This window comes from Homo sapiens, chromosome 10 (genome assembly GCF_000001405.40).
Source record: "Homo sapiens chromosome 10, GRCh38.p14 Primary Assembly".
In the NCBI taxonomy this organism is placed as follows: Eukaryota; Metazoa; Chordata; class Mammalia; order Primates; family Hominidae; genus Homo; species Homo sapiens.
The window spans coordinates 96,368,341-96,392,218 of record NC_000010.11 but is presented as its reverse complement, the minus strand read 5'-3'; the positions used below and the strand labels follow the sequence as shown (position 1 = coordinate 96,392,218).

General features: G+C 50.3%; 1 protein-coding gene across 1 annotated transcript in view, besides 1 other annotated feature; it reads left to right on the top strand.

Annotated features, from left to right (window-relative positions):
- TLL2 (tolloid like 2) overlaps window positions 1-23,878 on the top strand; it is a 149,319-nt gene that overhangs the window by 121,708 nt on the left and 3,733 nt on the right. The window contains exons 14-20 of the mRNA NM_012465.4: window positions 5,141-5,266; window positions 6,004-6,164; window positions 7,452-7,632; window positions 13,127-13,252; window positions 15,400-15,527; window positions 18,410-18,623; window positions 21,904-22,154. Coding sequence (NP_036597.1) covers window positions 5,141-5,266; window positions 6,004-6,164; window positions 7,452-7,632; window positions 13,127-13,252; window positions 15,400-15,527; window positions 18,410-18,623; window positions 21,904-22,154 — 1,187 coding nt within the window. The remainder of the gene's footprint in view (window positions 1-5,140; window positions 5,267-6,003; window positions 6,165-7,451; window positions 7,633-13,126; window positions 13,253-15,399; window positions 15,528-18,409; window positions 18,624-21,903; window positions 22,155-23,878) is intronic.
- Window positions 12,764-13,273: an enhancer, noted in NCBI's record as "H3K4me1 hESC enhancer chr10:98138703-98139212 (GRCh37/hg19 assembly coordinates)". NCBI's record gives its function as "activates a minimal SCP1, AML or CMV promoter by ChIP-STARR-seq in naive H9 embryonic stem cells {active_cell/tissue: H9 hESC(naive)}" and the evidence as "EXISTENCE:reporter gene assay evidence [ECO:0000049][PMID:30033119]".

Genomic DNA, 23,878 nt, shown 5'->3' with positions numbered 1-23,878 from the left:
CCTGCTCAAGTAACCATGATAGCTGGCTCCATTTGCTGGTTAGAAGACGCCACCTTCTCCCTCCTCCCCATCTAGCGTGCATTCAACATTCATCAGTCTATGTGTTGGTGCTGGGGCTGGAGACGCCGAGGAAAGCACACAATGATTGTCCTCAAGTGCTCATGGTGGTGAAGGAGATTAGCAGCAAATGCGCGATGACATTGCTGTGTGGGTGTGGACCTTGGTGGAGGCTGTGAGACTCAGTCTGCGACGGGGCCCAGGTTACCCAGTGTCCTACTTGGAGGGCATTTCAATTTGCAAACATCTTTTCAGATGCCTGTCAAAGTGTGGACTAAGGCCCACCCAAAGTAACTTAGTGCACAGACCCAGCTTGACTTTTTTATGGTTAAAACAACTGCAGAGAACAACATTTAGAAAAGAAGAAATATACAACATTGACCTTGACCATGAATCTTAAAGTAGGAATCAGGATTAACAGAAACCTCATCTAGACCTATTAAATCAGGGAAAGGACATCTACTGAATGCTGGCCACGTGCCAGGATCTAGGTTATCTCACTTTTCTTCATTACAATCCCCTGGTAGGAATTATTATTGCCCCCGTTTTCCAGTTGAGGAAGCTGAATTCCTAACATGGCTGGGCTGGAACTAGAACCTGGATCTGTAGGATTCCACAATCCGCTCTGTTTCCACTAAGGAGACCTGAAAGCCACAGGGAAGGAACGTGAAGGGGGTGGAATTTTTCCTTAGTGTTTGTGATTTGATTCTGACACTGGTCACCTTTCTACCTTCCCGATACCACAGAGGTATAGGCAAAAGGGCTCTGGACGTGGCAAGTGGAGTTTGAGGTGCTGGTCCCATGTTCCCTACTAGCTATTCGCTCTCTTGCAGATCAGCTTTCCTTCCTACGACCGGCCCATACCTGCTTTGCTCCTCACTGTGGTCCCAGTGCTTGGCACACAGTAGGCTCAGTAAATACCTAGTGAGCAATGAAAGAATGGATAGATCAATGAATGAATGGGGCTCAGTTTCCCTGCTGGTGGAGTGGGCATCCTGCTGCCTGCTCTGCCTCCCTTGCAAGACTCTCTGGAAGAAGAGTGGGTGAGCGACCACAGCCTCGTGCAACACTGTCCAACAGAAATGGGATGTGAGGCACAACCAGAAGCCACATAGGTGACCTTGAATTTGCTGGCAGCTGCCTTACAAAAAAGGAGAAACCAGTGACATTGATTTCAATGATATTTTTATTTATTGTACAAAATAATATCATTTTAATATGTAATCAATATACACAATATTAGTGAGAGATCTTATGTTTTTCACACTAAGTCTTGGAAATCCAGCATGTGTTTTATACTCATGGCACATCGCCACTTGGACCAACTGCGTTTCAGGTGCTCAGTAGCCACATGTGGCTGGGGGCTGCCGTATCAGACAGCGCAGGTCAGGAGACTGTACCCAGCCAGCTTCCCCAGCCCAGCCTTTTCCCAACAAGGCCATCATTCAGATGCTCTGTGAACACAACGTACCTAGCACGTGTGTCAGAACTTCTCCAGTGAAAGAAGCTGGAAGAGGAGCTCAAAGGCCCAGCAGAAGAGCTGGAGCAAGCCAAAGAAGCTCTTGCCTTGGTGCCAATTGGCAGGTGCTCTGCCCAGGGCCCAGCTGGCGCCTGATCCTGGCCAGGGTGCCAGTTGGCCTCTGTACCTGATTCTGGTGCCAGATGGCAGCCTTCTCAGAGCATACTGGCTGGCAGCAAGCAGAGAACCTTAACAATTCTGGTTACTTTGGGAGAAGGCAGCAGCACTCAAGGGCTGGCAGGGCCATTTTGGTCCTATGCCCCCCACATAAAGAATTAAAGATTTCCCACCTTGATCCCTCCATCCCCCTATCCCAGTGCTGATAGGTCACCATGAAGGGCTTGGTAGGGGGACTGGCTTCCCTCAAGGGATTTCTTCAAAAGCCTAAGAATATGCCCTGCCTTCCCTTTCCTTAACTTTCTCTGAACAATTTTTGGGATCCTGCCTGAGCCGTCTCATCATCTAACTACTTCCTTCTTTCGCTAATTCCACCTGGACCATGAGAAGACTCCAGAGCTCCTGCTATGCTAAGCTGAATGCTGCTTCCAGTCTCTTCTACTGCCACGCTCTCCCAGATTTTTCTGGGAGGCTTGGCCTTGGCCTTGGCCTCTGCAGCCCAGAGCAAGCACGAGCCAGTGGGCTTGGAGCAGGTGCTGCTTTACCACAGTGGGAGGCCCCATGCACCTCTGTGCCATCTAGCCAAGCTGAAGCAGGGCTGTAACTGGCCAAACATCTCACGGCTCTTGCTAGAGAGAGCTCAGGTGTAAAAGCATGCCTTTCATCTACCTCCCAAGGCCGAGCACCTTACCTTCTAGTCTCTGGAGGAATTATATTTTCTTTGCTTTTGCCCTAGGTCCATCCACCGGGCTCTCTCCCTTCACCTGGCTAAGATGGTGCCAAGAGACTTGCTCCTCTGTGCACCTCTTTCTTGCCTGTGTGTCCTGCCTACAGCCACAGCATCTTCTGGTATCAGAGTCTCCTGCAGACCCCAGCCTTGGTCCTTTGTCTATCTGTCTCTCCCAATGGGCTCTTTCCTTGGTTTCCTTCTGCCTCTTCCCTAGGTCCCCCAGCCAGTGTCTTGAGTTCTTCTGCTGTGCTGCCCTCCTGCCCGTCCATCTTCCTCCACTGGCCCATCCTTGAAGCATTTTCCTTCTTTCTGTTCTTGCCTTGTCTCCCTTCCCTCCTCAGGCCTGCACTGCTCCACTCCCACCTGGTCCAGGTATGCCCAGGGAACCTTATCTTTTCACTGCCCCATCATTGTGCCTCTCTACTCACTGGAAATTTGAAAGCAACTCTGCTGCTGTCTATCATGATGGCTTCTGTGTGCCGATGGTCTGTATGCCGGGTACTTCACATGCATCGTTTTCAGTCGTCACAACCCTAAAAGTAAATATTATCATTCTCACTTTAAAGCAGGAGGGAGGCTCAGTGAGGCTAAATCACAAGCAGTCACCCAATTTATTGGAGGAAGATCGGCTGGAGGATCCACCCCAGGTCTGACTCACTTTAAAGCCTGGACTCTTTCCGCTACTTTTTATCAACTATTTTCTTCTTTCTATGCTTTTTAGCAAATGTCTAAGAAAATACTTTCAATTTGGTAAGGTGATAAAAAAAGTAACTGCACACTTGTTACTATTTTAGCATACTTATTACTTACATTTATTTGAGGCGATGGGCAACTTCAGCTCCCTGCCTGGATTGTCTCTCTAAACGCAATCTCCCCTAATAAGCAATTAATTTATATAAGTTTTTATTGAGCCCAAGAGTACATCACCATTAGAGTTACCCAAGTTCACTGTCCCCTATGTGAAATGATGGGATATTTACAAACCCTCCTTTACCGAGTGAAATGCAACCAGGTTGATGAGGAGTCTGTGCATCACAGACAAGGACGACTGGAAGGAAAGGGGTATATTTGAGTTGGAAAAGGGCAGGGTAGAGGGAAGCTGGATGATTGGAGGGTTTGTGTTTTCTGAGGACCAGTGGACTGGAAGTTGTAAGGAGTCAGACTTTTGACCCAATAAATACCTTTGAAAAGTAGTGAGAGTCCTGTCTCTGGGAGTTTTCAAGTAGGGTCTGAAGAGCCATCTCTCCAGAACGTTACTGAAAGGATTCCTGCCTGAGAGGGCATGACTGGGTAACTTTCCAGGTCTTTACCAACTCATAGATGTTCTTAATTTCTTTTAGTTTGTGTGTAAAGAGTTATTTCAAGATTTGGTGAACAACTTTTTTTGTTGTTGTTGAGACAGAGTCTTGCTCCGTTGCCCAGGCTGGAGTGCAGTGGCGCAATCTCAGCTCACTGCAACCTCCACCTCCCAGGTGCAAGCGATTCTCCTGCCTCAGCTTCCCGAGTAGCTGGGATTACAGGCATGCACCACCACTCCCGGCTAATTTTGTATTTTTAGTAGAGACGGGGTTTCACCATGTTGCCCAGGCTGGTCTCAAACTTGTGACCTTGTGATCCACCCGCCTCAGCCTCCCAAAGTGCTGTGATTACAGGCGTGAGCCACCGTGCCTGGCCAACAACTTTATACTTACTGTGTTCCTACCTTCCGTGGTGCTGTGGACCTGAACTCTCCTTCCCGCTTCTCCCCATATCCTTTCTTCTTCCTAGGTTCAACTTTTTTGAAAAAGATGTCTCAGTGTTCAGTTGTCCCTTCACTAGACTCCTTTCTCGCTCTGGTAGGCCACATCCCACATGCTCTCTTTCAGGGCTAGATGTACTATGGCTGGCAACAGATAATCATATTTTTCCTTTTATTTCTAACATGTGTTTTGGTTTTTCTTTTTTTCAGTGGCGCTTGGGTTAATGTGTCTGGGGAGTGTCTCTAATGACTTCCAGGTTCTTCCTCTGAGCAGCACCGATGGCATGCTATGTGCTGTTATTTAGTCGCCCCAAACGCATCACTAGGCCCTTGGTGCTGAATCCCATCCAACGCCCCTGCTAACTCAGCCTCATTATGGCCTCTTCCTGCAGGTTTTCCTGGGAGCATTTGCTAACCTAAGAGCCCGTGTTTTCTGTAACCTTGAATATCTCCCTGTGCATACCTCTCTTAAGAGTATTTCTAAAACTCCTAAATAACAGATTCTGTCTCTAATGTCTAGAGAATACTGACACATCTTCATCTAGCAATGTTTTCTTTGTCTTCACCCTTTATTTAATATCTCTGAGAAGTTGCATATTTATGGGGGCAGGGGAAGTCCTCAATTCCATGGTTTTAAAATGGATGAAGTCTTTGGTATGGAATGTTTTGAGATTTTTTGAAGTCTCAAATGACCGATGACCAAACACCTCAAAGAATTCACTTCTCCAGGCCTGGCCTTCTCTTGGCAGAGCCTACCCCAGCTAACAAGGTGTTCCTGCTCGTGTTGTCAGTGTCCTGCCTTCACTGTAGCTGCTGCCTGGTTTTCAGAGGTGGACATGGCACTCTTTGGGAGGTGGTCACCAGGAGTGGCTCCTGTTTATTAGAGGACACTTGCTGGTGACACTGGGATATGCAAGGGTTGGGAACAGCCAGGAGGCTTCCTGACAATGTAACCGGGGTCACCTTCCTTCCCCACCAGAGGTGGATGAGTGTTCCTGGCCAGATCACGGCGGGTGCGAGCATCGCTGTGTGAACACGCTGGGCAGCTACAAGTGTGCCTGTGACCCTGGCTACGAGCTGGCCGCCGATAAGAAGATGTGTGAAGGTTGGTGTGGGACCTGCCAAGCTAGAATGAGAGGGTATATGGGACAAGTCTTTGGGGAAGTGGGGCAGAGATGGGGCAACCAGCTGGCTGTGTAGGAACGATGGGCAATGGGCAGACATGGTGGAAGACCCACCTACTTCCTAGAAGGAGAAACAGCCTGACAGCTGTCACAAATGTCAGAAAACTGCCCAAATTACATAGACTCTGCCCTAGAGACTGAAATCAAGGCCATGGTTTTTCTTCTATGATTGTGTGAAATTGACATGATTATTAAAGTAGGAAACAAAAGCAAAGAAAAACTGTGAGCACTCCAGTGACTCAACCGATAGCACTTTTCATCCATCCTATTTCTACCTGGCTTGTGTTCCATCTTCCTTGTCCACGTGCATGAATCCGCTTGTTCATGCAAGCTTGGTATGGTGAGTAGCTTGCTGCAAACATTTCTAATTCTCCTTTGGCCCAAGCCATAGGGAGCCCCCAGCTCTGCCACTGGGTGAAAGGAAAGCACAAATGCATTCATTGTTTTTAAAAGCAGTAAAGATTTATCCCCAATTTTGTTCCTTCAAATATTCAGTTGAAACCATTAGTTTTGAACAAAGGACACTGAATTAATCAGTTCAAATTGTCTAACATTTTAAAATTATTACAGAACAGCAAGGCTCTATTGCTCCTGGTGGGAAATCACAGTCACCTGGAGCCAAAGCCAAATGAATCCTGTTTCTGTTTCCCCCGTGCAGTGGCCTGTGGCGGTTTCATTACCAAGCTGAATGGAACCATCACCAGCCCTGGGTGGCCGAAGGAGTATCCCACAAACAAAAACTGTGTCTGGCAGGTGGTGGCCCCCGCTCAGTACCGGATCTCCCTTCAGTTTGAAGTGTTTGAACTGGAAGGCAATGACGTATGTCTCCATGCTCTAATTGATTGGGGACTGTATTGAGGGGTGACTCAGAGCTGGAAACCAGTGAGGGGCTGGGAGGGCAGGGAGATGGCTTGTGTTGACTGAAGCTTTGGACAGTCTTAGGACCTGCGCTAGCAGAATCTGGGGGAATGTTTTCTCCAGCAGTTTCAGCCGCACGCCCTCTGCAGATAGAGCACCTCCGGCCCTCTTGTCGCTGATACATCCAAGGAGAATCAGGACAAGAGTGGAAGAGGCAGATATTGGGGGTGGGAGGTGTCAGGACTGGGCTGTGAGTCTGGGGAGCTGGTGTGCAGCTGAGGCGAATAAAGGGGGTGAGAATCAGCTAGGGACAAGGATGCTACAGACAGCCTGTTTCCTCTTTCGGGCAGTGATCATGGATGATCAAGTCAGTTGAGGTCCAGGCAGCACCCTACAGCTGGAGTGCTAGTCAGGCATGCCTACGTCTGCACCTTAGGCTGGAAGGACACCCTGGGGCACACAAGCCATTCCTGAGACTCCCCTCCCCACCCCAGCTGAGCTGGGGGTCTCACCTTGAGAATAGTACTGGTGTAGCTCTCACCTGATCAGGCCTTTGGGGTACTGGAAGGAGACCTCAATGCTGATGACCCCAATGCATGGAGGCCATGGCGCCCATGAGGGTGTCACCCCAAAGTGAATATTGTGCAGAAAAAAATAATCCTTGAAAGCAATTGATAAGACCCCTTAGCAGTGAAGTTCTTTTTGAGAAAAATCATTGCTACAGCAAGGAACATGAATTCTAGTCCTAGCTCCACCACTGCTGAGCTATGTGACTTCAGACAAATGTCTTTCCCCCTCTGAGCTTGTTTCCCTGCCTGAAAATGGAGTCAGATTCTGTCGGTGGTTTGCAGGATTTTCCTCCTCCTCTTCCTCTTGCTTCTCCCTCATCCTCTTCTCCTTATTTTTCTTCTCCTTCTAGCAGTGGGGCCCTTTCTTCAAGTAAAATTTCATGTGGAAGCCTAATATATAAAATAAATTAAAGCAAGGCTACAATTACGGGGATGCAGGTTTGGGAGCCCTGTGCTCTTGTGCCAGGCGATGGCACCCCCACAGAGCCTCAGTGGGAGAGCCAGGGGTCCCCCTGTGCCCTCTGGAGCTCATTCAAATAACCGGCGTAGCAAGAGTCAAGGGACCCTCCCCCGCCACACACGGTAGGGTGAGGCGCTCAGGAAGCAGGTGCAGCAGTGTGCTGGGGGTCTGGGGTGGGGACAGGGACTCTGGGAAGCTCCCCATCATGCTCCCTTGCAGGTCTGTAAGTACGACTTTGTAGAGGTGCGCAGCGGCCTGTCCCCCGACGCCAAGCTGCACGGCAGGTTCTGCGGCTCTGAGACGCCGGAGGTCATCACCTCGCAGAGCAACAACATGCGCGTGGAGTTCAAGTCCGACAACACCGTCTCCAAGCGCGGCTTCAGGGCCCACTTCTTCTCAGGTATGCGGGTTCAGAGGTGAGGCTGATGCAGCGCGAGTGAGGCGGCTTTGCAGACTCCAGGCTCTGGGGTCCCTGGCCCCCTCCTCTCTCTCTTTGCTTGCTCCTGCATCCCTCCAGGTATGGCTGCCTTGGAGGGGGCGTGCCAGATCCAGGGCTTTTATATATCTATTGGTGGCTGTGTTAGTTTCCTAGGGCTGCCATAACAAATTACCACAAACTGGTTGGTTTAACACAACAGAATCTTATTCTTACAGTTCTGGGGGCCAGAATTCCAAAATCCAGGTGTTCGCAGGGCCATGCTGCCTCGGAAAGTTCTAGGGTAGAATCCCTCCCTGCCTCTTCCTAGCCTGTGGTGGCTCCCAGCAGTCCTTGGCATTCCTTGCCTTGTAGCTGCATCATCCTGATCTCTGTCTCCATCTTCACATGCCCTTCCTTCTTCTCTGGGTCTCTGTGTCCCCTCCTTTTCCTAGAAGGACTCCAGTCATTGGATTTAGGGTTGATCCTAAATCCAAGATGATTTCATCTCAAGATTCTTAACTAATAGTTCTGCAGAGACACTATTTCCAAGTAAGATCACATTCTAAGGTTCCACATTGTATTAGTCTGTTTTCACAACATACCTGAGACTGAGTAATTGATAAAGAAAAAGAGGTTTAGGCCGGGCGTGGTGGCTCATGCCTGTAATCCCAGCACTTTGGGAGGCCGAGGCGGGCAGATCACTAGGTCAGGAGTTCTAGACCAGCCTGGCCAACATGGTGAAACGCCGTCTCTACTAAAAATACAAAAAAAAAAAAAAAAATTAGCCGGGCGTGGTGGTGTGTGCCTGTAATCCCAGCTACTCGTGAGGCTGAAGCAGGAGAATCGCTTGAACACAGGAGGTGGAGGTTGCAGTGAGCCAAGATGGTGCCATGGCATTCCAGCCTGGGTGACAGAGCAAGACTCCATCTCGGGGCAAAAAATAAAAAATAAAAAATGAAGAAAAAGAGGTTTAATGGACTTACAGTTTCACATGGCTGGGGAGGCCTCACAATCATGGCAGAAGGCAAAGGCATGTCTTACATGGCTGCAGACAATACAGAATGAGAGCCAAGTGAAGGGGGAAACCCCTTATAAAATCATCAGATCTCGTGAGACTTATTCACCACCACAAGAACAGTATGGGGGAAACCGCCTCCATGATTCAATTCTCTCCCACCGGGTTCCTCCCACAACACGTGGGAATTATGGGAGCTACAATTCAAGATGAGATTTGGGTAGGGACACTGCCAAACCATATCACACATGAACAGGAATTTTGGGAAGACACTACTAAACCCACTACAGCAGCACATTGGACCCTACTTCTCAAACTGAAGGCCATGAACCCTCAGGGCCAGTACAGCAGCTGTAGAAAAAGCCCATTCTCCTTAGCGTGGCATGTGGTGCTGGACACTGCCTTGGCCCACCTGTTCTGCCAGCCACATTCCCTCTGCAGGTGCCCTGTGCTCTGATCACGAATAATCCCCCCACTGTTCCCCCACACCATCACCTTCTACTCCTAAACCCCCATCCCATTCTGTCTTCATACCCTCTGCCTGTGGCGTTCCCTCTCCCTGGAATATCCTTCTTCCCTCCCTCCTTAGGAAACTCCTACTTCAACCTGAAGACCCACAATGCCACTTTCTGTAACATTCTCTGGCTTCGTCTTATTCCTCTATCTTAGTCCATTTTGTCTGGCTTCGTCTTATTCCTCTATCTTAGTCCATTTTGTGCTGCTATGACAGAGTACCACAGACTAGGTAATTTATAGTGAACAGAAATGTATTTGGCTTATGAATCTGGAGGCTGGGAAGTCCAAAATCAAGGGGGAACATCTGGCAAATGCCTTCTTGCTGTGTCATAACAAGGTGAAAGGCACCACATGGGTGAGAAAGAGCGGCAAGGGGGTCAAACTCATCCTTTGTCAGGACGCCACTCCTGCAATAATGAGCTCTCATGACCTAATCACATTTAAGGGCCTCATCTCTCAACACTGTTGCATTGGGGATTAAGTTTATAACACATGAACTTTGGGGGACCCATTCAAACCGTAGCACCCTCTTAGCACATTGATTGTTCTTTTACCAGTGTTCCCATAGCACTCTCTCCTTCCCTTCCATTAGGGCTCTTGTCACCAGGGGCCAGCTCCATGGGCCTGTGGCCTGTGCAATAGCACAGAGCCTGTTCTCGGAAGGGCCCACACTAATTTAAGGTTCTGTTGTCATCATCTTGAAATTCATGGCCGGGCATGGTGGCTCATGCCTGTAATTCCAGCACTTTGGGAGGCCAAGGCGGGTGGATCACGAGGTCAAGAGATCGAGACCATCCTGCCCAACGTGGTGAAACCCCGTCTCTACTAAAAATGCAAAAAATAAGCTGGGCGCGCTGGCGCATGTGTAGTCCCAGCTACTCGGGAGGCTGAGGCAGGAGAATCGCTTGAGCCAGGGAGGCAGAGGTTGGGTGACAGAGCAAGATGCCGTCTCAAAAAAAAAAAGAAAGAAATTCATAATAGTGTTTCAACAAAGTGCAAATCTTGCACTGAGCCTTGCAAACTGTGTAGCAGGTCCTGCATGTCACGTCATATTAGAGGGTGAACTGTTTACAAGCAGGAACTGTACTTTGGTTATCTTTATAGTCTTAATGCTTGGCATAGAAATGACCCAATTATTTGTTGATTTTATAGATACCCAGAGTTCCATCTCCATGCATTTTTTTTTTGGCAGTCTCTCACTGAGCAAGTCATGTTTTTTGTTTTGAGTGTCTGCTGTGGGCACAGTACACTACTAGGCTCAGAGCTGCTGCCAGGGAAATGACCCCAACCCTGGACAAGCTTACATGCCAGCTAGGGAGCCAGGAATACACACCCTGCTAAGTCCCAGCCTGGAGCACTGTGGGGTGGGCTGGTGCAACAAGGGCTAATGTTTGAAGAAGAGAAGCCCATGGTTGCCTGGAGCAGTGGGTGAAGACTTTTTGCAGGATTTGGGGTGGTCTAAGCCAGGTTTTAAAGGATGGAAGACATGGAGGTGGAGATAGGATGATTAGAGAGAAAGTAATCAGGGTCCCCAGTAGGGGAGGCAGTGTGAGCACAGGTTAAGTTCTCAACAGAGCACAGAGACAGAGATGAGATGGGCCTGCATGGAGCCCTGACCCATGCTGGGAAGCCAAGGGCACGAGATGGGCCAAGTTGGAGAAGGCCAGGTCATGAGGGACCTTAAACGCTGGGCTGAAGAGTAGGGACCCGATGAAACAGGAAGGGGGACTGTTTGCAGGTTCTTGAGCAGGGGAAGCCTAAACTTGTCATCTGACCAAGCCATGCCAGGCAGTGTAGAGCTGGGAGGGCCAGGCGGCTGGAGGACCAGGGCAGCAGGGCAGGGGGCAGGAGCCACCTCAGAGGAGGATGTAGCAGAGCCTCACAGGCAGGGCAGCTCCACATTTGCAATAGGAAACTAGAGCACAGGGAAGAGGATCAGAGCAGGGGTGAGGACCTGTGAGTCATCTGCAGAAGGACTTGGAGGAAGGAAGGGAGAGAGGTGGGTCAGTGCTGGGTGTTGGGCGGCTTCATCTCTTCTGCATTCTTTTTTTTTTTTTTTGGAGACAGAGTGTCGCTCTTGTTGCCCAGGCTGGAGTGCAATGGCGCAATCTCCGCTCACCGCAATCTCCGCCTCCTGGCTTCAAGCGATTCTCCTGCCTCAGCCTCCTGAGGAGCTGGGATTACAGGTGCTTGCCACCATGCCTGGCTAATTTGTGTCTCGAACTCCGGACCTCAGGTGATCCACCCGCCTCGGCCTCCCAAAGTGCTGGGATTACAGACATGAGCCACCACGCCTGGCCTCTCTTCTGCATTCTTTTTTTTTTTTTTTTTTTTTTTTTTTTTTTGAGATAGAGTCTCGCTCTGTCGCCCAGGCTGGAGTGCAGTGGTGCAATCTCCGCTCACTGCAAGCTCCGCCTCCTGGGTTCATGCCATTCTCCTGCCTCAGCCTCCCGAGTAGCTGGGACTACAGGCGCCCGCCACCACGCCCGGCTAATTATTATTATTATTATTTTTTGTATTTTTAGTAGAGACAGGGTTTCACCGTGTTAGCCAGGATGGTCTCAATCTCCTGATCTCGTGATCCGCCTGCCTTGGCCTCCCAAAGCAAAGGGTCTTTCTTACAAGGGCTCTTAGTTGTCCTGATAACATAAGCAGGTGAAATACATTGTTCAAGGAGACATTAACAATGGTGAACAAGAGCATATAGAGAGGGGAGGAAGACAGGGCTGACCCCTAAAGTCATTCTGGTGATGGCAGGGAAGCAGGGGAGGGAGGCTGATCTTTGGTAAATGCAGGAACAAGTTGGCTTAGGATAGGGCTGCATACAAGGACCACAAGTTTAACAAGGGCCAGCACTTGAGTTCTCACATAATAATTATACAGCTAACACTGTGGGCTGGATGCTGCTCTAATTAATTTACCCCTCCCAACAACCTGTGAAATGAGGATACCATTACTGTCTCCATTTTACAAGTGAGGCAACTGAGGCACAGAGGGCAGGAACTGCCCATGGCCACAAGGGCTGGAAGTGGTGCGGTAGGGCTGGCCCTCTGCTGTGTGTCCCCAACACTCAGCTGCTCCACGTGCAGAGGGCGGGGTGGAGTCGCGGCACTTGAGCCCAGGCCACAGAGGATGCTTGCTCACTGAGTGACCTTGATCACATTAGCCATTCTCAGCGTCAGTTTCCTTACTTGTTTTTGTTTTGTTTTGTTTTTGAGATGGAGTTTCACTCTTGTTGCCCAGGCTGGAGTGCACTGGCGCGATCTCTGCTCACTGCAACCTCTGCCTCCCAGGTTCAAGCAATTCTCCTGCCTCAGCCTCCCGCGTAGCTGGGATTACAGGCATGCACCACCACGCCTGGCTAATTTTTGTATTTTTAGTAGAGGCAGGGTTTCTCCATTTTGGCCAGGCTGGTCTCGAACTCCCAACCTCAGGTGATCCACCCACCTCGGCCTCCCAAAGTGCTGGGATTACAGGCATGAGCCACCATGCCTGGCCAGTTTCCTTACTTGTAAAGACTGACAGATAGACAGCTCCCTGCTAAGGTTGGATGAGAATTAACTTAGATAATGCATACAGTGTTTGGGGCAGTGCCTGTTGCATAGTAAACACTCAGTAAGTGGGAATTACTGTTATTATTGTTACTATTGTGATTAATACAAGCCTGTCCTTTAGGGAGCTCCTTGTTTTGAGCAGGGAGCAGGGGCAGAGAACATACATAAAGTACTTGGAGAATTCAACACATACCAGGGCCAAGTACATACCCAAGAAACCTGAGGTGAAGATGCTTCCCACTTCACTCCTCCAGTGAGGGAACAATCAGAGGGGGAAGGGGAGCAATCAGAGAGGCTTCCCAGAGGAGGCCACTTTTAAGTGGGATTCTGAGCCCTGAGGGACATTTGCAAGTTGGCGGTTCCTCTTAGAAGAGTTCATTGATCTCCCCAGATAAGGACGAGTGTGCCAAGGACAACGGCGGGTGTCAGCATGAGTGCGTCAACACCTTCGGGAGCTACCTGTGCAGGTGCAGAAACGGCTACTGGCTCCACGAGAATGGGCATGACTGCAAAGAGGGTGAGGCTGGACCTCCAGTTGTTGGGGGGGCGGGCTGCCCTTCGCCGCACCCCATGCCCCTGTGTGCATGTGCATGAGTAAGGAGGTGCGGCGAGGACCTCTTCCACCTTCTGAGCTGAGGCCCAGCAACTGCTGTCCTTGCGGGAGAGTTTTCCCCAGGGCATCTCGCTCCTTCAGGAGGCACCTGGGGGCCTCAGGTGCTCTAGGCTGTTATTTTTGTAAGTGATTAAGCCTGCAGGCTCTGGAATCCAATTACCTAGGTCTAAATCCTGGCTCTGCCGTTCCCTAGCTGTGTGACCTTGGGCAAGCTATTTAACCTCTCTGAGCCTCAGTTTTTTCTTTAGTTAAAAGGGTCTAAACATACCTCCTTCTTAAAGTTTTTGTGAGGATTAAAAGAATGCCTAGAAAGTATTTCAGACTCTCTGACACATGTTATGTCCTCAAATGTCAATAAAGATCAGCCATTTATGTCTTTGTCATATATTAATTACCATATGCAGGTCCCATTGGAAAATAGGATTTGGGGAAAGCTTTGCTCCATTCTCCATTACACTGTGGGGAATTCTTCAGGGCCAGGTGGCTTTTACTGTCCAGTCATCCTGGAAAAAGCCTTCCTTCTGTTCTTACCCTGCCCAGTGAAGGGATTTCGAACATTTATGACAAACACACAGGCTTCCAGGCCTTGGCTCCAGCCACGAAACCCTGCAAAGGAAGTCAAGGGTGGAGGAAGATGTGGAAGACACACACCCTGATCTCTGGAATAAACAGTCTGGATTTAGGAGATTTGGCTGGGTGCCGCAGAGTCTGGTCAGGATCTGCCTAGAATGTTAAAGGAGGCGCTGACACATCTTCAGGAGGAGGTGGCCACCCTCCAAGCCCAGCCCTAGGGCATGGTCACAGGTGGCGGAGGGGCTGGGTGGGAGGCTGCTGGAAGAACTGAGCTGGGAAGGAACAGTCAAGCCCCTGTGAGATGGGCCCGGGCCAGGACCAGGCTTGCCTCCTGCAGTGTGGGAGAGGACAGGAGTGACGTCAACTCTCCCAAGATCCCACCCCTGAATAGTGGCTGCATTCATGTGGGTTGACCCCAACAGCAGGGGGTGTCAGAGCAACATCTCAGGAGCTGAGCAAATGTCCCAGGAGCTGAGCCACTGCCCCTTTGAGCACCTGTTCTCTGCGTTGGCTGCAGAGCAGATGTAGCACTGAGCAGAGGCAAATCTCTTTGGAACATCCTCGAAGCTGTTTCCTCCCCTTCCTGCCCCCGGCCCTCCTCACCTGCCTCTCCAGCTTCTTCAGTGTGGAGCCTCCGTGTTTGTGATACAGTCCACCGTGCTTTCTAAGCAGTGGTAGACTGGCCTCAAAGCCAGGCAGGCCAAGTTCGAGTCCCAGCTCTGCCCCCTATCAGCAAGGCACTGACCCTCTCCAAACCTATTTTCTTATTTGGGAAGTGAGAAGGACTAAAAGAGAGGATGCATGGAAAATGCTGACCACAGTGCCCACCACAGAAGAGAAATGGCAGCTATTGGCCAAGATGCCAGGCATTGAACAAGTTGTGGGACCACTCTTGGCAAATAGCACTGTAACCAGGACAAACTTGGTAGACTCCAAATAAAGCCACTTTGAAAAACTAAAAGAAGCTTATGGATGGATGATGAAGGAGGCCTCTGTTAGCCAAGATGCACTGAGCACTTACCATGGGCTGGCATGCCCTAAGCCTTTCCCATGCATTATCTCATTCGATCACATATCACCCTGACTAGAGTGGCACCCTTTTACAAATAAGGACACCGAAGCTTACATAAGAGCCCCAAGTCCCACAGATTGTAGGTGGCAGAACCAGGACATGGGCCGAGGCCCACCTGACCCCACTGCCAGTGCTTTTAACATATTTGCAAGGATAACTGCAATGTGGATAGGAATAGAAAGATAGCCTGGCCCCCGAGCCACAGTCAGGAAGGCAGAAAAGCCAGTGCAAGTAAACCAGCACATCCCTGAGCCAGGAGATACCTGATTCAGGATACCCCACCCCCATATTTGATAAAGACCCTGAGACAATTAGGAGAGAGGGGAGGAGACCCCCCTAGAATCCTTCTTGTGCTGCCCACAGTGAATGACTTCTCTCTTTGTATGTGTCCCCCTGCCACCCCCAGCTGGCTGTGCACACAAGATCAGCAGTGTGGAGGGGACCCTGGCGAGCCCCAACTGGCCTGACAAATACCCCAGCCGGAGGGAGTGTACCTGGAACATCTCTTCGACTGCAGGCCACAGAGTGAAACTCGTGAGTCATTTTTGTAGTTTATTGAGAATGTGGACTTGAGTATCAGGCAGATGTGCGTTTGAGTCTCTGCTCTGCCACTTCCCAGCTCTGTAACTTGGAAGTTACTCAACATTTCCAGGTCTCAGTTTCATTATCTGGAAAACATGGATACTAATGAAGCCTACTTCATCGGGCTGTTGTGCAGATTAAAAGAGACAACGCACAAAAGCTCTATAGGTCACACCTGGGCACAGTGGGACCCGCAGGAGGCGGCATCCACCACCCACATCTGCAGTGCTGTTTGAGATTCACTTGTTTCCAGTTTTAATTTTTTACAAGACAATACAGTCTCATGATTAAAAATGAGATGAATCAGTACAGGAGGTTGGAAATAGAAATCAAAAGACCCCAGAGCCCCCATTTCCACTCTAGAAATGACCACTCTAAACACATTCTTATGGATCCTTCTAGAAATTTTCTGTGCACAATCATGACTGTCAGTGCACAGGGAAATATATATGTTTTTGTTACTCAAATTCCTCTAATAAAATCCCATTCGTATTTTTTCTACAACTTACTTTTTTTTCCCATTAGTAATAGGAGACTAAGTTCTTTATGCAAATTCCCTCTTGAATTAAAAATTTTCCCCAAGCCTTTATTTGAAGTCTTTTTCACGTATATGATGTGTGGTTTGCACAGTTATTTCAAAGGAGAGTTGAATCTCCTAGGAGTCTCATTTCTCAACCCCCAGGGACTCCCACACTTTGGAGAATAAAGAACCCCTTTTGCCAGCTGGAGAATGTATTGTACTTCAGGCAGATGGACATTTTTTAAATGGGTTTTTCTGACTGTAGAGGTAAGTAGGATTGACCCTATGAACTGTGGACGATAACTCAGGGAGAATGGAAGAGAACAGAGAGGGAAAAGTCCATGATCAATGGACTATGGCGCAGGGACTTGCAGGTTGTTTATTGGTGAGAGCCATGAGTGAGGAGCAGAAGAGGCGAATGGGCCCCCAGGGCGTCGAGGGGTGAAGACAGGGCCTCTGACCACAGGGTGCTCCCAGCGGGCAGTTCACATGCTGGGCTGCCCGTGGGGAAACTGCTGCTCTGCTAAGAGCTGGTATCCCGGGTCAGCCTTGAATCTGGGTGAGGATGAACTGAAGAGAGCCTTAGGGAAAGGCACTGCTTCTCCAAGACCGCCATCTGCTGGGAAATGTTCGCAATGGCAACATAGAGCCCCGAGGACCTCGGGGGAGGCGCCTTCTGGCGTTGGGAGCGCGCAAACGCACAACGGGAAGCGTTTGCCCGAGGCTCACAGACTCACGTGGTAGTTTCCAAAAGGCGTTCCCTTGGGAAACGGATGGTGGCTATATTGATTGCGCGCTTTTCGCTACCATAGAATGTGAGTTGAATACTTCTCAAGGAAGCTGGTGGTGTTCACTGCATGTGGGTGGCGACAGGGCGCCCCATGGACCTCCTGGGAGCTCCCTGCCTGCTGAGCCTAAGGCTCCCTTCCACTGCATGGCCGTCCCGGTGCCACTGCTCCCCTGTCCCGTGTCTCTACCCACCACCTTGGCCCAGTGCTCCCTATGTCACTGGCGGGAGAGCTTTGCCCAAGTACGTTAGTGTGTGGGAGTCATTCTTCTGAAAGCCTGCATTGCCGTGCTGGTCCCTTCCCCCTCCCAACCTCCATCTCTGCGCTGCCAGGCCAGCCCCGCTCTTTTGAATTGACACCCCCCCCCCCCCCCCGCAACTAATGTCCTGTCTCCCTGCTCTGTCATTTGGTCCAAGTCTTCATCTAACACCGTCCCCGCTCACCTTATCCCATCTCCCTTGACGCTGGGGCTCCCATCAGTCGGCCACCTACCCAGCATCTGAGAAGCCTGCATTCAGGGCTGAAAAGCCTGGAATGGTGCGGCGCCCCTGGCGAGCGTTAGGGGACAGTCCTTAGGGGGAACAGGGAGAGGTGAGGCAGCATAACCTGATGACTGATAGCAGTGGGGGTTGGAGAAGGCTAGCTGGGGTCAAGTTCAGCTTCATCTGTCTCCAGCTGTGTGAGCTGGGGCAGGCCAGCCAGCTTCTCTAAAACTCATTTTCCCCATCTGCATGTTGGAAATAATAACAGCTCTTCCTTCACAGCATCACCAGAAGTAAGAGAGAAAATGCGCATAAATGCTTGGCATGGAATAAACACTCGGCGAGAGTCAGCCACCATGAGGGTGCTGCCTGGAGCAGCGTGCACCTCATACAACCTCACCAGCGTCATTTGTACTAAAGGGTCGTGCAGCAGAGTGCACAGGTCAACAGCAGGGTCTCTGATGCCAGAGCACCAGATCATGGCCCAACTCTCAGTATGTGACCTTGGGCAAGTCATCTGACAGCGATGAGCCTCATTTTCCTCACCTGTAAAGCGGGGATTAGACACATCACAGGGGTGTAAAGATTAAATGAGGCGATACTTGTAAAGCATTTAAAACAGCTGCCGACAGAGTGGGCACTCAGCCCTTGCTGGCTCTTAGCCCTAAGTGAGAGAGAAGCTGTGTGATGGGATGGAAGGAAGACAGATTTGGGCTGTGTAAAGCCTGGCTCTGTCGCTTAATAGCTGTCAAAATGTCAAGCATTTAATCTCTGAACCCCTGCTCTCTCATCTGCAGTGTGGTCATTGTAGCAATAGCTCATGTAACTACTTCATAGGGCCACTTGCTGGACCAAAAGCAAGGCGGAGGTTGAGACCCTCTCTACAGATGTCCTCAAGCATCATCACGGCCACACACCCCCTGCACAGCCAGCTGGACGTCTCCCTGCACTGCCTCGCCCCTTCCTGTCCCAGAACTGGAAAGGAGGCCCCCACCCCAGCTGAACGCCAGGCCCTTGCCTTACTTTCTGCTCTTCTGTCCCCAGACCTTTAATGAGTTTGAGATCGAGCAGCACCAGGAATGTGCCTATGACCACCTGGAAATGTATGACGGGCCGGACAGCCTGGCCCCCATTCTGGGCCGTTTCTGCGGCAGCAAGAAACCAGACCCCACGGTGGCTTCCGGCAGCAGTATGTTTCTCAGGTTTTATTCGGATGCCTCAGTGCAGAGGAAAGGCTTCCAGGCAGTGCACAGCACAGGTACCTGGGGTGGGACACTGGCTTCCACCTGATGAGCACTTGGACAGGAGACAGAGAAATGGTGAAGGCACGACAAGGACTGCCTTTTATTCTGACTGGGGGAGGGCGAGGGGAGGAAGGTGCGTGATAAAATGTCCTATTAAAATGAAGCATCAAGCTGGGCGTGGTGGCTCATGCCTGTAATCCCAGCACTTTGGGAGGCCGAGGCAGGCGGATCATCTGAGGTCAGGAGTTCGAGACCAGCCTGGGCAACATGGTGAAACCCCGTCTCTACTAAAAATACAAAATTAGCTGGGCATGGTGGTTGGTGCCTGTAATTCCAGCTACTCAGGAGGCTGAGGCAGGAGAATTGCTTGAACCTGGAGGCAGAGATTGCAGTGAGCCAAGATCGTGCCATTGCACTCTAGCCTGGACGATAGAGTGAGACTTTGTCTCTAAAAAAATAAAAAAAATAAAATGAAGCATCAGCAACCAAAGGGAAAAGGGCCGTCTTCTTTCAATGTCCTTAATTGACGCAATTTGAAATGGACAACCCTTTGTTAGTGCCCCATTTTTTCCTCCCTCCTTCTTTCCTTCCTTTCTTCCTCTCTTTTAAAAATATATTTTGGCCGGGCACGGTGGCTCACACCTGTAATCCCAGAACTTTGGGAGGCTGAGTGGGGAGGATTGCTTGAGCCCAGGAGTTCAAGACCTGCCAGGGCAAGATGGTGAGACCACCCCCCGATCTCTACAAAATAAAAACTAGAAAACATAGCGAGGCGTGGTGGTCCCAGCTACCCTGGAGGCCGAAGCAGGAGAATTGCTGGAGCCCAGGAGTTCAAAGCTTCAGTGAGCTCTGATCACGCCACTGCACTCCGGCCCAGGTATTTTGCTGGTCTATGAAGTCCAGAAGTTGGGTAACTGAGTGGTGAAAACAGCCCTTTTATCCCTGTAAGGACCAGTTCTGGAAAGTGAAAAATGTTTCTGTTCCCCGTGATTTTTTCTTCCATTCAAAATGTAAATAGCACTATTAGGTCCTTTGGTGGGAAATGTACGTGCTTATAACTTATATTATCTACTTCGTTAAGTAGAAGAATGTCAGGAAGAAATTTGGCTCTGCTCTTTAGCCATTAAAATGTTGCCACCTGGGACTAGTGCCCACAGAAGCAAATCTGACCCTTTGATCCTGATGTACAATTGTGTCCTTTGTCAGAGCTGGTGACCACCCAAAGCCCACTCTGCTTCTGTAATGCTGAGTCTGAGCTCACGATCATGGGACCCTGTGATCCTTTTAACAGCCTCTACCTCCAGTTTTTTTTCAGTACCGGAAAATATAAATTAGGTCAAACAAAATGGCGACCAGCATCCTGAGGCAGTTCAGCCTCCTCTTGCACAGCAGAAAACGCTGCATGGTTTGTGGAACCCTGTCAAACTCCCTGAGGAGTTCTAGCTCCCTACAGGGAAGTTTAAAAGCCCTCTTGTCCCTGCAGATAGAGACCAGCAGGAACACAGGTGCTTCAGGGTCCCGGCAGGAAGTGGGGGCACATTCAGAGTCATTATTTGAGAGAAGTTAATAAAGGGACAAGTTACAAAGGGGTGGGAGAGTATGGGACACTGTAGGACAATGAAGCCACCAGAGCTAGGAACTGCAACTCCAGGCCCAGAGGATGAGAGGAGGGAGCAGTTCCTGGAAGCTGGAGACAGAGAGGACTGCATGCAGAGACCCTCTGGCTGCAGCTGTGACCTAAGTGGAAGAAAAGCTGTGGCAATCAGGGGACTAAATACCCTGGCTTCTCTCGCCTCCCTCCCTCTGATCTGCTGGTGCTCCCCATGGCTGAACCTGCAGCAGAAGGCACGGGGTCATCGATGTAGGCCAGGGGTCTGTCTCACGGGGCCCAGGCAGGTGGGGAGGGTGGGGGCGTCCGGCCGGATGGAGGGGAGGCGTCCCACCCTGCTCTGTGCTCATTTCATGACCACCCAGCTCTCAGGAATTTGAAATTTCCCAAAGACAGGTTAGACCTGTAAGACATTCTAAGCCAGAGCCAACACAGGACTCAGAATGGTCAGTCAGACAGGACCGGGGCCAGGCAGGGCGTGGAGCTCCAGCGGGGCCTAGGAGTGTTAGGAGCCAGGTGGCCCAGAATCTACAACAGCGTTTGCCTGGGCCCCTCGGGGGGCATGGAGCACACTGGGGAGGGGCTGTGCAAGAATTTGCTTCCAGAATTTCTGGTGCTTGCTAATCTAGACCAGTCTTATCTATCTATTTTATTTATTTATTTACTTTTTTTTTTTTTTTGATACGGAGTTTTGCTCTGTGGCCCAGGCTGGAGTGCCGTGGCACAATCTCAGTTCACTGCAACCTCCGCCTCCCAGGTTCAAGAGATGCTCCTGCCTCAGCCTCCCGAGTAGCTAGGATTACAGGCGCCCACCACCACACCTAGCTAATTTTGTATTTTCAGTAGAGACAGGGTTTCACCATGTTGGCCAGGCTGGTCGCAAACTCCTGACCTCAAGTGATCCACCCGTCTCGGCCTCCCAAAATGTTGGGATTACAGGCATGAGCCACTGCGCCCGGCCAATATCCATTTTATTTTATGTGGGCTTAAGTGTCCAAGACACAAGGTACTATATATGGGACCAGGGCCAACCAGAGTTACTGTCCTTGTATAATGAAAAAACCCAGAAACAAAGGCTACAGAATACCAGCCCAGAGCCTGAGGTGCAGCTCACCTGTGACACCCACAGGGACCTCAAAGTTGGCCTATAGTCAATGCCCTCAAATGCAAAAACCAGTCATTTAGGGTCTGAGGTTTCCAGGGTTGAGAGCTTACCCGCGATTCCGATGTGCTTTTATCGCCCTCTGTCGGCAGAAATGACAAATTGCAGTCAGTCGGTGGGGCGAGTGGGAGCCCTTCTCAGATGCATCCAACACTTCCAGGGAATAAAGTGGCAAATAGATCCACCCATATCCCAGCGACCAGTGAGGCGAACCGTCCATTGGCTCCATGTCTCCATAACCGGAAAAAACAAAAAGCAGCCAACTCTTTTCAATGGCATGCTCACGTATTCTCAAGCTGGGAACAGGGGACCTTGGCTTGTGAGGGCCACTTTGCACCCCCGAGGGAGCCCTGACCTGGGAGCCAGGGGCCTCTGTGTACTCCTCCATCAAATGGGGTGACGAGACTACCTGGCCTCTCCTGCCAGGCACGCACCAGGCTCTGTAGAGAAAGCCGAGCAGACGCAGGCGGGAGGCACGAGGGTGTCTTGTGCTGAGGGGACATCTCACTTCTCTCTGCTCCAGAGTGCGGGGGCAGGCTGAAGGCTGAAGTGCAGACCAAAGAGCTCTATTCCCACGCCCAGTTTGGGGACAACAACTACCCGAGCGAGGCCCGCTGTGACTGGGTGATCGTGGCAGAGGACGGCTACGGCGTGGAGCTGACATTCCGGACCTTTGAGGTTGAGGAGGAGGCCGACTGCGGCTACGACTACATGGAAGCCTACGACGGCTACGACAGCTCAGCGCCCAGGCTCGGCCGCTTCTGTGGCTCTGGGGTAAGTCCCGGAGACGCTGGGGCCGGGGCAGAGTGTGATGATTCACAGCAGGAGTTGTGGAGTCAGACACGCCCGGCTTTCAGTCCCGGCCACCTACTCCACTTAGGAGCAACGGCGAGGAGGCACGTTCTGCAGAAGCGGAGTGGGAAGCAGGAGAACCGTCAGGAGAGGAGGTTGGGAGGCAGCCAGGGACCAGTCCTTGAAGGCCCCTTACTGAGGCCAGCCATGGAAGAGCACTTTTCCTTTTGGGACTTTCACCTATTTTTGCAAAGGCTTTCCCTCTCCCCTCCTTTTTTTTTTTTTTCTTTTTTTTCCCCCGAGACGGAGTCTTGCTCTGTCGCCCAGGCTGGATCTCGGCTCACTGCAACCTCTGCCTCCTGAGTTCATGCGATTCTCCTGCCTCAGCCTCCCAAGTAGCTGGGATTACAGACATGCGCCACCACACCCACCTAATTTTTGTATTTTCAGTAGAGACGGGGTTTCACCATGTTGGTCAGGCTGGTCTTGAACTCCTGACCTCAAGTGATCCACCTGCCTCGTCCTTCCAAAGTGCTGGGACTACAGGCGTGAGCCACCATGCGCAGCCACTCTCCTCCATTTTTATTTGGCCTTCAGGCTTTAAAAATATTTAATTATGCTTTTATATATTTCTTATATTCACATTTCTCTCCTCAAGCAAAACCAAATGCTCTGAAAATTACAAGTCACTTACTATACACACAATAGTTGTGCTCAAGGTCATTATCAATGTTCTCATTATTGATTTCTTTAGTGGGCCTATTGTGTTTGCTGTTTCTCCAGCACCTGACACTGGGCTTGGCATATAGTTGGTGCTTGGTGGGAGTTTGCGCATTGGCCAGTACAGTGTCCCAGTCACTCCCCTGGCTGCACCGCACTGGACACTGCCCATACTGGGCACCAGCCCCCTCCTTTCTGTTGCCTGGAGGCCCGGTCGCTCAAGCTTCTTTGCTATTGGCTGGACTTATAGCACATCATTTTTGAGTCACCAGTGGTCCTTGTGCTAAACGGAAACTCAAATTGGCATTTATATTTCTTTGAATAATTCCCTTCATCTTCTTTCACCCTCTAAAAAAGGAAGAATGACAAAGTGGCACTTAACCAATGCACTGCCTTTGATAAAATCTTTCAAACTATGAGGTCTGTGGAAAGGAACCCCTTGGAGGGGTTAACTGAGCAGTTAACTGTGGGGGAAGCCCACTTTGGCTCCACTAGAACCTCGCAGGCAACAGCCTTGGAACGTGGCTCCCATTCACAGACCACCTGGCAAAACCTTTCTGACCAATATAGTGGCTCCATCCCATTTTTTTGTCCTTGGATGAGACAGAGGCCTGAACCATGGTCTTTGTTTCAGGTCTCCTGGGAGACACATCATAATGGTGACCCTGGAGCTCGGTGATTCATGGTGCATCCTTTACTGTCAGAAGGACCTAAGCTTGGGTCCCGCCTACCTGCGAGAACTTGAGTCTCAGTTTCCTGAAGTGAAAAATGGGGATAGTACCTGCCTTATAAGGTTGCTGTAAAGTTTACATAAGATCTGGAATTGCCTAGTGCAGCACCTGACCCACCTGCATACTTAATAAATAATAGATTCTATATGAGCTATGCACCTAGGATCATCTTTGGAAGAGCAGGGCCTGCAAAGCTCCCTGGAGCAGAATTTGCAATGTTTTCTTTTGAAAAGGAGCTTGTTTGGATGCCCTTCA